The 14,265-nt window shown below is 53.4% G+C and overlaps 4 annotated features.

The window, feature by feature from the left end:
* Nucleotides 5,393–5,893: an enhancer, noted in NCBI's record as "H3K4me1 hESC enhancer chr1:22562845-22563345 (GRCh37/hg19 assembly coordinates)". NCBI's record gives its function as "activates a minimal SCP1, AML or CMV promoter by ChIP-STARR-seq in naive H9 embryonic stem cells {active_cell/tissue: H9 hESC(naive)}" and the evidence as "EXISTENCE:reporter gene assay evidence [ECO:0000049][PMID:30033119]".
* Nucleotides 8,765–9,311: an enhancer, noted in NCBI's record as "H3K27ac-H3K4me1 hESC enhancer chr1:22559427-22559973 (GRCh37/hg19 assembly coordinates)". NCBI's record gives its function as "activates a minimal SCP1, AML or CMV promoter by ChIP-STARR-seq in naive H9 embryonic stem cells {active_cell/tissue: H9 hESC(naive)}" and the evidence as "EXISTENCE:reporter gene assay evidence [ECO:0000049][PMID:30033119]".
* Nucleotides 9,312–9,860: an enhancer, noted in NCBI's record as "H3K4me1 hESC enhancer chr1:22558878-22559426 (GRCh37/hg19 assembly coordinates)". NCBI's record gives its function as "activates a minimal SCP1, AML or CMV promoter by ChIP-STARR-seq in naive H9 embryonic stem cells {active_cell/tissue: H9 hESC(naive)}" and the evidence as "EXISTENCE:reporter gene assay evidence [ECO:0000049][PMID:30033119]".
* Nucleotides 12,700–13,333: an enhancer, noted in NCBI's record as "H3K4me1 hESC enhancer chr1:22555405-22556038 (GRCh37/hg19 assembly coordinates)". NCBI's record gives its function as "activates a minimal SCP1, AML or CMV promoter by ChIP-STARR-seq in primed H9 embryonic stem cells {active_cell/tissue: H9 hESC(primed)}" and the evidence as "EXISTENCE:reporter gene assay evidence [ECO:0000049][PMID:30033119]".

Genomic DNA, 14,265 nt, shown 5'->3' with positions numbered 1-14,265 from the left:
GCCTGCCTTGAACTCCACCACCCAGACTGGGTCATGTTCCCCCCGCACCTCCCGCCCTGTCGCCAGGTCTTCCATGCCAACGCCTCCCCGCCTGCACCCCCTCCCCCACCTTGATTTCCAGCCTCCAGGGATGGTGTCTAGTTCAGATCTGGATTCCGGGGCCCAAGCCAGGGTTGGCACATCATAAATCCAGCAAGGTCCTGCCCTAGCATCTCCCCTTACCCTCCTCAGCCCTGGCCCACACACACTCAGGCATGAGGTTTGGACTGGACTGGATTGAATCGGCAAGGTGGCACTGGGGCGAGCTGAGATCCAGGGTGGTGGAACAGGCAGGAAGGAGGGGGCATATCAGGTTTCTCCAACAACTGGACAGGTCTGGGTTCAAATACTGCCCCAACAGTTGCAGGGCTTGGCAAATTCACTTCGACTCCTAAGCTTAAATTCCCCTGTCTATAAACTGAGCATGCCAATAATATCCACTTCGCTGTGTGTGTGCGTGTGTGTGTAAGTGCGTGTGTGTAGTGTGTGTTTGTGTGTTTTAGGATCCATTGACATTCTGTGCTCAAAAGGCCTTGCCATAATGTTGCCTCTGACTGTCACTATTAAGGTGAAAAGAGAGAGGACAAGAGGGAGGAGGATTTAAGTGTCCCAATGGGAACTGGTGGGAAAGAGGTGGTCTCCACCCCTCTAAGACCAGCTATCTCCTCCCCAGCCTCCAGAATCCCCGCCTCACATACTGAGCCCAGCTTGTCTAATTGTCCTCCCACACTGGCCTGCCTGCCTCCAGCTTGGCTAAAAGCCAAGAGGCTAAACTTAGCAAGTTAGGCAAAATCAGGCAGAAGGTAGGTAAGGCATGGATGTTCATAGCAGCATACTCCAACAAAACAGGCCAAAACATGGAAACAACCCATATGCCCATCACCAGATGAACAGATAAACAAAACACGGAACATCCCTGCAACGGAGTGTTATCCAGCCATGAAAAAGGAGGTAGTGACACAATGCTACAACATGGATGAAACTTGGAAACACTGGGTTAAGTGAAAGAAGCCACATATCATCTCATTTCCCTTACACAAAATGTCAAGAATAGGCAAATGTATAGAGACAGAAAGTGAACGAGCAGTTGCTTAGGGCTGCGGGGTGGAAGGACAGCGGAGTGATGACTAAAGGGCACAAAGTTTCTCTTTGTGGTGATGAAAACGCCCTAAAATTGACAGTGATGGCCGGGCATGGTTGCTCACACCTGTAATCCCAACACTTTGCAAGGCTATGGTGGGAAGATTACCTGAGGCCAGGCATTCAAGACCAGCCTAGGCAGCAGATTGAGACCCCAGCTCTACAAAAAAACTTTAACATTAGGCAGGTGTGGTGGAGTGTGCCTGTAGTTCCAGCTCCTTGGCAGGCTGAGGAAGGGGGATCGCTTGAGCCCAGATGGTCAAGGCTGTAGTGAGCCGTGATCACACCATTGCACTCCAGCCTGGGTAACAGAGACAGACCCCGTCTCTAAAATAAATAAATAAATAAATTGATAGTGTGGCAATAAATTGGTAGCGGTGATGGTTACACTACCTGTAAACATACTAAAAGCCATTAAACTGTACCCTTTAAATGGATGAATTGTAGGGTATGTGACTTCTAGCTTGATCAAGCTATTTTAAAAAAGAACAGGTGTGACCTGGGTGCGATGGCTCATGCCTGTAATCCCAGCACTTTGGGAGACCGAGGCAGGTGGATCGCTTGAGGTCAGGAGTTCCAAACCAACCTGGCCAACATAGTGAAACTCTGTCGCTACTAAAAATAAAAAAATAAAAAAATAAAAAAAATTAGCCGAGCATGGTGGCAGACACCTGTAATCCCAGCTACTCAGGAGGCGGAAGCTTGAGAATCGCTTGAACCCAGGAGGCAGAGGTTACAGTGAGCTGAGATCTTGCCACTGCAATCCAGCCTGAGCAACAGAGTGAGACTCTGACTCAAAAAAAAAATCAAAAAAACTAAAGGCTGGGCACAGTAGCTCACGCCTGTAATCCCAACACTTTGGGAGGCCGAAGTGGGTGGATCACCTGAGGTCAGGAGTTCGAGACCATCCTGGCCAATATGGTGAAACCCTGTCTCTCCTAAAAATACAAAAATTAGCCAGGTGTGGTGGCATGCGCCTGTAATCCCAGCTACTCAAGAGGCTGAGGTAGGACAATCACTTGAACCTGGGAGGCAGAGGTTGCGGTGAGCCGAGATCTCACCATTGCACTCCAGCCTGGGCAACAGAGTGAGACTCCATCTCAAAAAAAACAAAACAAAACAAACAAAAAAGAACAGGTGGGGACAGACTAGGGAGTAGGCCTTCAGCTGGGGGACAGAGTGACAGCCCCCGGCAGGAAAGTCAAGCCCTAGATTTCACACTAGCTTCCTTGTTCTCCCAACAACCACGAGGGAAGGTTGTCATCATTCCTATTTTGCAGAGCAGAAAGCTGAGGCTTGGAATATGTCGCCTGAGGTCACGCAGCTGGGATGCTGAGATTCGAAATCAGAGAGAAGGGCCTGGCCCGGGCCTGCCCACCGTGCCCCTCCTCGGGCTTCTCTGACACTCCCAGAATGTGAGGCTGGCATCCCCAGCCTGGCATAGGCTGCCCTCCGATAGGCTGGAGGGTAGAGGGAGCGGCCACTGTGCTGGCACCAGCCCCAGGCACGTCCACACAGGTGTGGGCCTCCTGGCTCTGCCCCAGCGGCTGCCTGGCCCTGCACCCCTGGCCAGGGCCGCATCTCCACCCTCAGGGCAAGCCCAAGCAGCTGAGAACATCTGCCCCACCTGAAGGGGATCACCCTGGATGCCTGAGGCACCTGGCACCCCTGGGGTGGCATCTGGGACTGGGCTGGTGGCCGGGCATGAGGGGTGGCAGGTGTGTGGCTCGAGAGGGGACTCAGGCCATGAGCATTTGCATGGTGTATGAGCGTAGAGTCTCCCTGGGCTGCTCAGGGTGTGAGCCCAAGTTCAAGCACACGTGTGTGGGTGAAGAGGATGTGCCAGCCGAGGGGTGCAAGTGTGTCTCAGTGTGTCCTGCTGGAAGTGGGGATCGTGGGTGTACAAGGGATGAGCCTGGGGACAATGAGTGTGTAAATGTGGGATGCCTGGGAGCAGACGCGAGGGTGACAGTGGGCTGGGGCCTAGTGAGCATGCGAGTGGGTCTGTCATCACAGGCGTGTGGCGGCGTGCACACTTGCTCGTGTCTCCTCCTCCTCAAATGGCTGTCACCCCCCAGGGCCTGCCCAGCCACCTCCTTGATTTATTTTTCTCTCCTTCTTGTCTCCCTTCAGGCTGTGAGCATATGGAGGGTGGACACCACCCCCGAAGCCTACCCGCCACTTGTTGCAAATTACAAAGCCATGGGAGAGCGCTTGCCTCTGAGCCTCAGTTTACACATCTGTACAATGGAGATAAAATAGCTCCTACCACAGGAGGTTGCTGGGAGACGTGGACTAGAGTAAATACAGAATGCAGCGGCCCAATGCAGAGAGTAAAGGCAAGAATTCAGTGGCCCAATGCGTGGAAACATACGCAGCCACGCTCCCCAACCCATCCGCTGATTTTGCCCTGGCCACTCCCCTCCCGCCAAGGCCCCTGACAGTTACGGGCTCTAGGCAGCTCAGGGAGGTAGGAGATTTCTGAGGTCAGGACGCACCCTCCTGGGCGGGCAAAGGCAGGCCCGGGGCAGCTTCTGGGGAGGTGACGCCCAGAACACCAGGTGTTCTGCCTTGATGAGGACAGGTGGAGATCAGAGGACAGGGTGTGGGCTCGGTACCAACATGTATTCATTCAGCAAACCCCTTCTAGGCACTAACTGTGCCAGGGCCCGTGCCAGAATCTACAGAGCCCCCAACTCTGTCTGCCAGGCATCTGGCAAAGGAGGAGGTTTTCATCCAGTGTGGTGTGTGCAGGATGGAATTGCAGAAGCGCAGATGAGGGCCCCAGAGCCAGCCTGGCCCAGTGAAGGGTCTCAGAGGAGGGGGCTATGGAGATGAGACTCCTAAGGAGCAGTGAGCCAGGCATTCCAGGCTGAGGGGACATCTTGAGCAGAGGCCTGGTGCCACCTGAGCATCCACCTTGAGGTAAGAAATGAGGGAGACAGTGCTGGAAACGCCGTCAGCACCAGCGGCAGGTTAGACACGATAAGGTTAAGGCCTAAGGTTCAGTCCCAGTGGTGAAATCAGATATTGTTAACAATCATTACTCTCACCCCACCTCAACAGGGGTCTCGTGATTTGCAGAGCACTTTCATATCTAGGATCTTACTTGGCCTTTGTTGCAATCCTCCCATGGAAGTGGGATAAAAGGCCCACTCATCCCTTTTTACTTTGGCCACTAGGGAACTCAAAGACTCCACTGAGCACTTACTGGCAATTACAAAGACAGCGCAGGCATCACTTCTCTTTCTACACCTGTACACCTGCTTTTCTCTCTTGTACTTTGATTTTTCTCCTGGCAGTCTTTTTTTTTTTCTGAGATGGAGTTTCCCTCTTGTCACCCAGGCTGGAGTGCAATGGCGCAATCTTGGGTAATCGCAACCTTGGCCTTAGGTTCAGGCGATTCTTCTGCCTCAGGCTTCCGAGTGCCTGGGACTACAAGCATGTGCCACCACGCCCGGCTAATTTTGTATTTTTAATAGAGACAGGGTTTCACCATGTTGGACAAGCTGGTCTTCAACTCCTGACCTCAGGTGACCCGCCTGCCTTGGCCTCCCAAAGTGCTGCGATTACAAGCTTTAGCCACTGCACCCAGCCTCCCTGGCAGTCTTTTGGGAAGTAAGAGGGCAGAGAAGAGGGCAAAGAAGAAGTTGCCACTGATGGCATATTTTGCTGGGGTCAGGGAAGGCTGTGTGCACACACCCTGACCCACCCAGGCACCCGACTCCCTTGTTCTCCCACCAGGCTCTCTCCCATCATCCCTTCCAGCAGACCCTCTTTCTAAACTCTGCCTGGCACACTGTCAGCTTCAAAGGAAACTGAGGCCCAGAGGGAGATGTCACCTGCCCCAAACCTCTCAACAAGGCCAGAATCTGAGTCTCTGGAGCCCTGGCTTAGGATCATGCTACCCTTCACCTACAGGAGCAGCCCTTCACCACTGTGTGACGGGGGACGTGTCACTAAACCTCTCTGAGCCCTTGCTCTAAGCCGGCTTCCACACTCACGGAAGTTGCTTAAGGAGCTTAGAGGCTTGTTCAATGCTGATTGACTTTAAGCAAAGCAGAACCCCTCGCTCTATTTGTTCTTTGAAAGGAAACAATTTTCGGCTCCCATGGCTGAGAGGAAGGTGCCCACAGAGCCCTGGCTATGGGGCCACAGGACAGTAGCTTCTCCTTTCTGCGCCTCAGTTACCTCATCTGCAAAACGGGGAGGAGCAGGTTCACTACACCCACGCACTGTCCTTCCTGGACTTCACACAGAGGACCTTCATTCCATCCTCCCTGCAACGATGGAAGGAGCTGGTGCTGTGCCCATTTTACAGATGAAGATACTGCAGCCCAGGCCACACAGCTCCCAGGTCTGAGTGAACAGCCCAGGTTCTTCACCGCGACCCCATACCACCTCTCGGAGAGGACAGTCTCCTGCACACAGTAGCGGGTACCTAAGGCTCAGGGACCTGTGGGTCCCCATGGCCCAGAACCTAAGAAGGAGGGTATTAGCCCCAAAGAGGCATGGACCCCACCCTGGGAGCTCCTGGGCTGGGCATCACTCCAGCAGGGTCCCAGCGGGGCTGTGTCGGCCATGTGTGATGCAAAGTAATGACACAGCCTAATGGGAGAAGGTGCCAAAAACATGCGTATGTACAAACCAGCTGCCATCCTGCCGAGCTGCAGCCCAGGATGGTTGCAAAACTCGGCCTGGCAGGTGGACCCTGGAGGTAGCTCCCAGGCTGGTACTGGAGCCCAGGCTGGCACCATCTGAGCCATGGATACCAGGGGCTGAGGAGGGCCACTGCAGGCAGGCAGGTGACACTCAGGGGCAGCCCCCTAGGGAGGGCCGGGCAGAATCAGAATCAGCCCCTTGCTGCTGGTTCTTGGCCCCCGGTCTTCCTGCTGTGAGGCCGGAGGCAAAGCTGGATCTGAGGGAGCCCTTTCCACCCTTTGAGGCTCCGTCTGCCTCCATCTCATCACAGGTCAAGTCCAGCCTTCCTTGTGGGGAGAAGAAGAGGACAAAGGAAAGGTCAGGACTTGGAACACGTCTCGGCGACCCTCTCACCCAGACACCCACCGTTCCAGGAAGCCTTCCCAGGTCTGCCCCTCATTATGACTCTGAGCAAATGACTTCATCTCCCTTGTGCCTCAGTTTTCACAACTGTAAAATGGAGACAATAACAGTGCCACCCTCACAGGGCTGCTGTGAGGAGGCAACATAATGCACGTATAGCCTGACAACGGTATAGCCTGGCATGCAGTGAGGTCTTGCTAACTGTTAGCCAGCAGTGCGCTGGTAAATGCTTACACACGGGGTAGGGCGTGGTGGCTCATGCCTGTAATCCCAACACTTTGGGAGACCAAGGTAGGCAGATCACTTGAGGTCAGGAGTTCGAAACCAGCCTAGCCAACCCGGCGAAACCCGTCTCTACTAAAACTACGAAAATTAGCTGGGTGTGGAGGCAGGCGCCTGTAATCCCAGCTACTCGGGAGGCTGAGGCAGGAGAATCACTTGAACCCAGGAGGCGGAGGCTGCAGTGAGCCAAGATCACGCCACTGCAATCCAGCCTGGGTGACAGAGTGAGATTCTATCTCAAAAATAAATAAATAAATAAATAGAAATAAATGCTTAATAATAGGCTTCTGGGGGTATGAGGGGTCCTGGTTTTGTAGCATTGCCCAGTTTCCATGGTACAAATACTCTCACCGTCACCAATATGAAGCTACCAACATGACATCCCAGAACACGAAGCTGGGGAGAACTGAGAAACAGCACACTCTTTCATAGGTAGCGTTTCTACCCTACATTAAAGTGGAAGAATTTAGCACTAAGAGGAGTTTGTAAACAGACATTTAGAAGCAGCTAGCAGAAGTTTCTTACACCCTTGAAGTGAAAAGGAATCACTATTATCTATTAAGAGAATAGATAATATTACAATTATAGAGAGAATCTATAAGAGAATAGATAATAGTACAAATCTATAAGAGATAGAGAATAGATAAAAGTACAATCTATAAGAGAATAGATAATAGTACAAATCACTATTATCTATTGAGAGAATAGTTAATGGTACAATTATTAAGAAGTAGTGAATCCAGTGTTTATTACCTTTGTAACATGATTTGCTCAATTGCAAATTTACAAAATTTAACTTTTGCTGATAGCTGTGCCTAACAGCTGCTTTGCAAATTCCTGAGAATTCACCAACCAACTCCTGCAAGCCGGTGCAAGCCAGCTCCAGCTCACCCCTGATTTTACTCTTTCTATTCTATCACACCTCCTTGCTTTCACATAAGCCACTTCTTCTGCTTGGAATACCCTTTTTTGCATGCCTTTTCTCTTGGCAAACTCCCACTGTTTCCCCAATAATCTAGATAATATCATTTTTTAAATCCCTCCTCTGTGAAGACAGCATGCCGTTGATTAGAATCTCAATGAGCCCTCACGACTCTATGAGCTAAATCTTGAGGGCCCCATTTTTCAGATGAGGAGGCAGGCTTGGCAAGGTCTGTCAGCTGAATGGTGAGGTTTCTGGTGGGGCCAGACTGTGTCAGGCATTGCCTTTTGCAGAGACCAGGTGCACAGATGCCTTCCCGGCATACTTGGAAGAACATTTCACTGATCGCTTGCATGTTCCCTCTCATGCCCTTGACTCAAGCATCGGGCTCCATTTCTCTGGGTTAAGCATTGCCCTGTCTGGGTAGTCTGGGTACAAGAAGCTGGGGGAGGCCCTGGGATGGAGCGGGAGAGCCGGGCAGAAGCTGGATGGGGCTGAAGAAGCCAGGAAGTTCTGGGACCCACTGCCAAAGAGCTGGGGAGCAGAGCGGGCGGGGAGGGCTGTGCATGGGGAGGTGCTGACCGCCTGCCCGCCTAGGGGAGAAGCTTCTGGAGGAATGTAAGCTATGAGGGAGAAGGGGGCAGGCAGGCCCGGGCAGTCGCAGCGTGGCCCCCTGGGGAAACTGGTGGGGGAGGGGGGACATAAGCCAGAGAAGACCCTGGTAGGGCCCTTGGCCTTGGCAGCTGCCCGCAAAGAAAGCAACCCCAGACTCATCCATCATGGGGGCTGGGAACCAAAGGGAGGGGGTACCTACTGGGGCCACGGCTGCCCAGCGAGGGCAGAGCCGCCCTCCCAGGGCTCTGCTGAGGCAGGGTGCTGGCACAGGGAAGCCATTGGGGTGTGGCAGCCAGAACTGGGTTCACACCCTGCCCAATCATTTCCTGGATGTGTGACCCCTTGGCATGGCACCTCCAGCCTGAGCCTCAGTTTCCCCTCCTGTAACTCCACCTCTCAGAGTCATGGTGTATCATACCCCGCGGGCAGTATCCAAGGTGTCTGGCCCATAGCAAGTGACAATTGGAATCATGATAATAAGAGCAGCCAGCCTCTACCGGGAGCTTCCCTAGGCTAGCACCGTGCTGTGCGCTTCCCATGGTCCCAGCCTTCAGCTTCTCAAGGCCCCTAGGAAGGGGCTAGCCCAGAGCTGCCCTGGATAGGAAAGAAAACCCAGGCACAGAGGTTCAGGGTGTTCCCAGGGTCACAGTACAGCAGTGAGTAGCTGGGAGCCTGGCCCTGAGCTGAGCTCCGGGCCCCTCAAGACAGCAGGCTCCTCAAGGGTGTGCCCCGTCTCTGAGTCTTCAGCCAGGAGCACAGGGAGCGGCAGACCACAGAGCTCAGTGGCTGCTGAATGAACAGAGATGCCTCCCAGATGTGCCGCCACCCCAGTGATCCCCCAGATTTGAGACCAGCTTGGTCCCCCACCTCCACCCAGGATCCAGGCCTCCATTGGCCAATGCAGACACAGCCCGTTTTGCCCCCACACCCAGCCTTGGCCCTGAGGGGCTATGGAGCTCAGGCACCCCGTCTCAAGCTCAGTTTCCCCACTTTGCTACTGGGTGATGGGAAGAACTCAGACGGGGTGGGAGCTCGAGGGGCTGCCTTCGGAACAGGAGCCAGAGGTGGGTGAAGGCGCTTCCTCCCTGGTGGGACTCAGGCCTGAGGACTCCCTACCACCAAATGGCTGCTTCTAAATCATCCTTACAAAATACAGAGATGACCCAAGAGTACCCGTCCCCCCAGCCCTTGGGGGACAGGGGGAAGCTGGCTGAGTAAAGACAGCCCATGGAGGGGGAGGAGAGGGCTGCAGGGAGTGAGAATGGGCAGGGAGTGACAGGGCTGCCCCCTGGTCATCAGGCCCCAGCCCTGCGTGCTCAAATGCACACACTTGAGCCCAGCCTGGGGAGGCCCTGCCAGGCCAATCTCTTCTCTCCGCATGCCCTTCCAAAGGCTGGAGCCCCAGGAGTCCTCACACCCCTGGGGCCTTGGGGGACCTCACAAATGCAGGACACAAACACAAGGCACTTTGCACATTTTATCCCATTTCCCCCTTCCATCCTCCTTGTAGGACAGGTGTATATTTCTCCCCATCTACTGATGAGAAAATCGAGCAGCCCAGAAAGGTGATGTAACTCACCCAGGGTCACATAGTAAGGAAGGAACAAAGCCAAGACCGTGACTCCTATCTGACCTGTCTGTCCTACCCCAAACCTGTATTCCGAGTACTAGAGAACTGTTTGTGACCTTTGGCTGAGAACAGTTTGTGACCACATGGCCCCTGCATCCTCCACCATGTGTACATGTGTCATGGGCTCTAGAACCTGGTCCCTGGGGAAGGAAAGAGCCATTTAGTCTCTCTGAGTCTGAGTGATGATGAAGATGGTGGTGAAGGAGGAAGGAAGTGCTCCAGGGCTAGAACAGCGGTTCCAGGTGCATGGTCAGAAAAAGACGCTGAGACTCAAGTCAAGGGGACCTGGGACCATTCCCGCATTGATATTCACAGGCTGTGTGGCCTCCAGCAAGGCACTTTCCCTCTCTGAGCCTCAGTTTTCTTGAGTGTACAGTGGAGGTGAGAATGCCTCCCTCTAGTGTTGACTTGACATGAGGGTCCAGGGACACCCATCATGCTGAGTATGTGGCACCCACTAGGTGCTCAATAATGGCTTTCTGTGTCCCCTTCCTCCACAGGATGTGAGCCCAGGACAACCTTTGTCCAAGCAGGTGGTCTTTCTGGGTGCCAAGAAGAATAGTAGGGAACTTGGTTCTGGTAGCATCCATGGCACTGCCCCAACTTCCAAAGCTGCTCAGCAAAGACTCACTGGATGTCCTCAGACCGGCCCTGGCACTGGGACAGGAGGGCAGGTAAAGCCTGCGTGAATCCCTGTGACAGCACAGGGTCTGCGGTTCCAAGCAGCCAGCCCATGAATGGGGACTGTGTTTCCTCTGAGGGGCTTCCTGGAATGACAGCAGTACCAGCTATCTCTGGAAGCCTCTGAGGAGCTGGGGGACCATGAACCCAGACATCCCAGGGTTGGGAATCAGGGGCTACTAGCCACAAGAGCCAGCCCACCCATTCCCATGTTGTCTGGTCACCTCACAGCAACCGCCAGAGATATGCAGCCCCTTCAGGGAATGGGGGCGACTGGAATTAAGTCTGGGGAATCATCTCTGGACCTCCAGGGCCTCGAACTGTGCCTGAGACCCAGGATCTGGGAGATGATGGGTGGATGATGGATGGATGGATAGATGGATGGATGAATGGTTGGATGGATGGATACATGGATGGGTGGGTGAATGAATGGGTGGATGGATATATGAGTGGGCAGATGGATGGATGAATGGATGATGGATGGATGAATGGATGGATGGATGGATGGGTGGATGGGTGGATGAATGGATGAACAGATGGGTGGGCAGATGAGTGGGTGGATGATGGGTGGATGCACAGATGGATAGATAAGTGAACGATGGATGGGTGGGTGTGTGAGTGGGTGGATGGGTAGATGGATGGGTGGGTGGACAGACGGGTTGGTGGATGGGTAGGTGGGTGGATGGGTGAATGGATGGATGGATGGATGGATGGATGGATGGATGGATGGATGAACAGATGGGTGGGCAGATGAGTGGGTGGATGGATGATGGGTGGATGGACAGATGGATAGATAAACTATGGATGGGTGGGTGGGTGAGTAGGTGGATGGGTAGATGGATGGGTGGGTGGACAGACAGGTGGGTGGATGGGTAGGTGGGTGGATGGGTGAATGGATGGATGGATGGATGGATGGATGGACGGATGAACAGATGGGTGGGCAGATGAGTGGGTGGATGGATGATGGGTGGATGCACAGATGGATAGATAAGTAAACTATGGATGGGTGGGGGGGTGAGTAGGTGGATGGGTAGATGGATGGGTGGGTGGACAGACGGGTGGGTGGATGGGTAGGTGGGTGGATGGGTGAATGGATGAATGGATGGATGTGTGAATGATAGATGGACAGATTTTAGTTCTGAAAATCCACGTTTTGAACATTTCTGTGGCAGCAGCTGTCACTGCCCATCTATACCCACTATCCCATTTCTCACTGCAAATAACAAACAGTGACTCTGCCTCTACAGCCGCAGAACATACTGGCCCAGAAGTGCCTGAAACAGCCTTCAGCCAAACACAGATGAGAGTGGAGGAAAAATAACCCAATTTCCTCCCCTTTGGAGGGGCAATGCTGAGGCTTGTTCTGTCCCTTCTCCCAGACTTCCCCAGGGGTCTGTGCCCAGCTGGCCAGAGTGCTCACCTGCTGACCGACACACCCTCCTCTTGTTGGCCTCTTTCCCTTCCTGTCTCATTTCCTGACTCATCAATCTGGACATTAGGAAATCAGCTCCCAGGTAAACTGTTTGCACTCAAATCCTTGACTTGGGGTTGGCTTTTGGGGGACCCAGCTTAAGACAACTACCTCTGCCTTTTGCCTGTTCTAGGACCTTGGACGAGTCATTCCATTTCCTGTGCCTCAGTTTCCTCACCTGTAAAATGGGGACAATTATTTAATGTTCACAGCACATCCATGTGGTTGGCACCAGGCAGGGTCCACCATGTGCCCCGCCTCACACTGGCACTGAGGGCACAGAGAAGATCAGCCCCAGTCCCTGCCCTGGAGGAACTCACCAACGACAGTGGAGAGGGTGGGTGCGAGTCCAGGCCACTGGGTTGGAAGACCCAAAGCCAAATCCTAGCTCTTCATATCTTCGCTGGGTGCCCCTGGTCAAGCGACACTTCACTCTATGCCTCAGTTTACTTTTCTGTCAAGTGGGGAGAGCACCAGAAACCACTTCATGGGGCTCTTGTGAAGAGAAGGAGAGAGAATGCAAGAGAAGTGGTCAGTACACGGCCTGACACACAGTGTGTAACAAAGGGAAGGCAGTGCTATTGTCATCATTGTCAAGAAGGAAATGCATAAAGTCATGCAAAATGTGAGCTTGTGTAACTGACAGTTCAGTTAGAAAGAGAGGGAGAGAGTCAGTGCCCTGGGAGGTCAAAGAAGAGAGTCATTAGGTGGCCTGAGAATGAAGCTGAGATAAGGAAAGCCTCATGCAGGAAAAGAATCCTTGCTGGCCTTGAATTTCACTCTTAGTCATGCACGGAAATTCCCAGCACCTGAAATTTTACTCTTAGACATGCATTCCTTTTGCTTAGCCATTGCTGTCCCAGGCCTTGAGCTACACCACCTTTGTCCCCACCCCACAACCTATGCTCCCACCACTTTCCCAGAGGGCCTCACAGTTTCCCTGGCCTTGCCATGCTGTTCCTTCTACAGGCGGCTGTGCCCTCCCCCCAGCTAAAGCTGTGGGAGGCCTTTCTGAAGCCCATTCACAGCGATCCTCTCTGGCCAGTGTGGCATGAATAGGCAGGGGGGCTGGACCAACTGCATCATGCTCCCCGTGGGGCTTGGTAAAAATGCAGGGTCCTGGGCCCTGCCTTCTCAGATTTTGTCTGGGATGGGGTCCAACCAGATTAGAAAACCACTTATTTGGCCATTCATACATGCCATATTACATATGGAGAAACTGAGGCCCAAAGAGCATACACAGGAAAGTGCCCAGACCAGAGTTTCTAATTCCCCATCAAGCCCCCACCTTCCCCTCTGGGATAAAAGCTGCCTGGTGTGGGCTTCAGCACAGCCCCCTCTGGGTCCCGCTTCAGGTGTCCCATCTGCCAGCCACCCCTGCTCAGTCTAGGGGGGGGTCACAAAGCTCCCATGGGGCCGCCAGGTGTGCAGCCCCAAAATGCCTCCAAGAGGCTCTGCCAGCGTTTGGCAGGTGACAGGACTTGGGTGCGGGGGTGGAGAGGACCCAGCCTTGAGTATTTAAATATTTGCTTTCTTACAGAATGGCATTCTTCAGAATATCAGCCAATTTGTATAGAATTAGTCAGTGCCTGGCCCCCCAGCTGCAGCACCGGGACTCCAGGGAGGAGGAATGTACCTGCAGCCTCGCCTGATGCGGAGGCTCCGGCAAGTCCCAGCACAAGATTCGCCTGCCTGCCCACGACCAGGAGGGGAGGCAGGTAGCAGCAGGGCAGACATGGATCCCAGCCACTCCTGGGCAGCCTGTGCCCCACACCAATCATAAGCTGCAGCTGCCAGAAACTTGCTCAGGAACAGCAGGGGTGAGGCCACTGACTTCACACATGTGCACGCACTCACACTCACACTCACACACATCCTGGCTGAGCAAGCCCAGGGCCAGCCCTGGCCCCTGGGTCCATGTCCCCATGGACCAGCCCAGGGACCCCTGGAAAGGGGCAAGAGATAACTGGCTGAACTCTCTGCCAGAGTTCCAGAAAAAGCCGCAGAGGTTATGCAAGAGCTAAGTTCAAATCCCAACACTACCTCTTAACTTGCTGTGTGACCTTGGACAAGATGCTTTACCTCTCTGGGCTTCACTTGCCCCATGTGTAAAATGGGAATCATAAAGTGCTTACCTGCAATCACGTACACGAATGTGCTTTCGGACACTGAAGTGCTGAATGCGCTGGGAGTCAAAGCCGTGCTACTGAGACTTCCAAACAGGTCGTGCCTCCTCTGTAATGTGCGTGTTTATGTTGATTCAATTAATAAGCACTTAGTGAGCACCTACTATGTGGTGACTTTGAGGACATTATTTCTGCTTTCTGGGCCTCAGTATCTCCACTTATAAAATGGACAAGTTAGAACACAGCCTCCAACACTCCTTCTGTAACTACCATGTTATGCATCTACAATAATCAT

Source organism: Homo sapiens, chromosome 1, assembly GCF_000001405.40.
Source record: "Homo sapiens chromosome 1, GRCh38.p14 Primary Assembly".
In the NCBI taxonomy this organism is placed as follows: Eukaryota; Metazoa; Chordata; class Mammalia; order Primates; family Hominidae; genus Homo; species Homo sapiens.
Note: the sequence above shows the minus strand (reverse complement) of the source record. Positions and strands in the feature narration are given on the sequence as shown.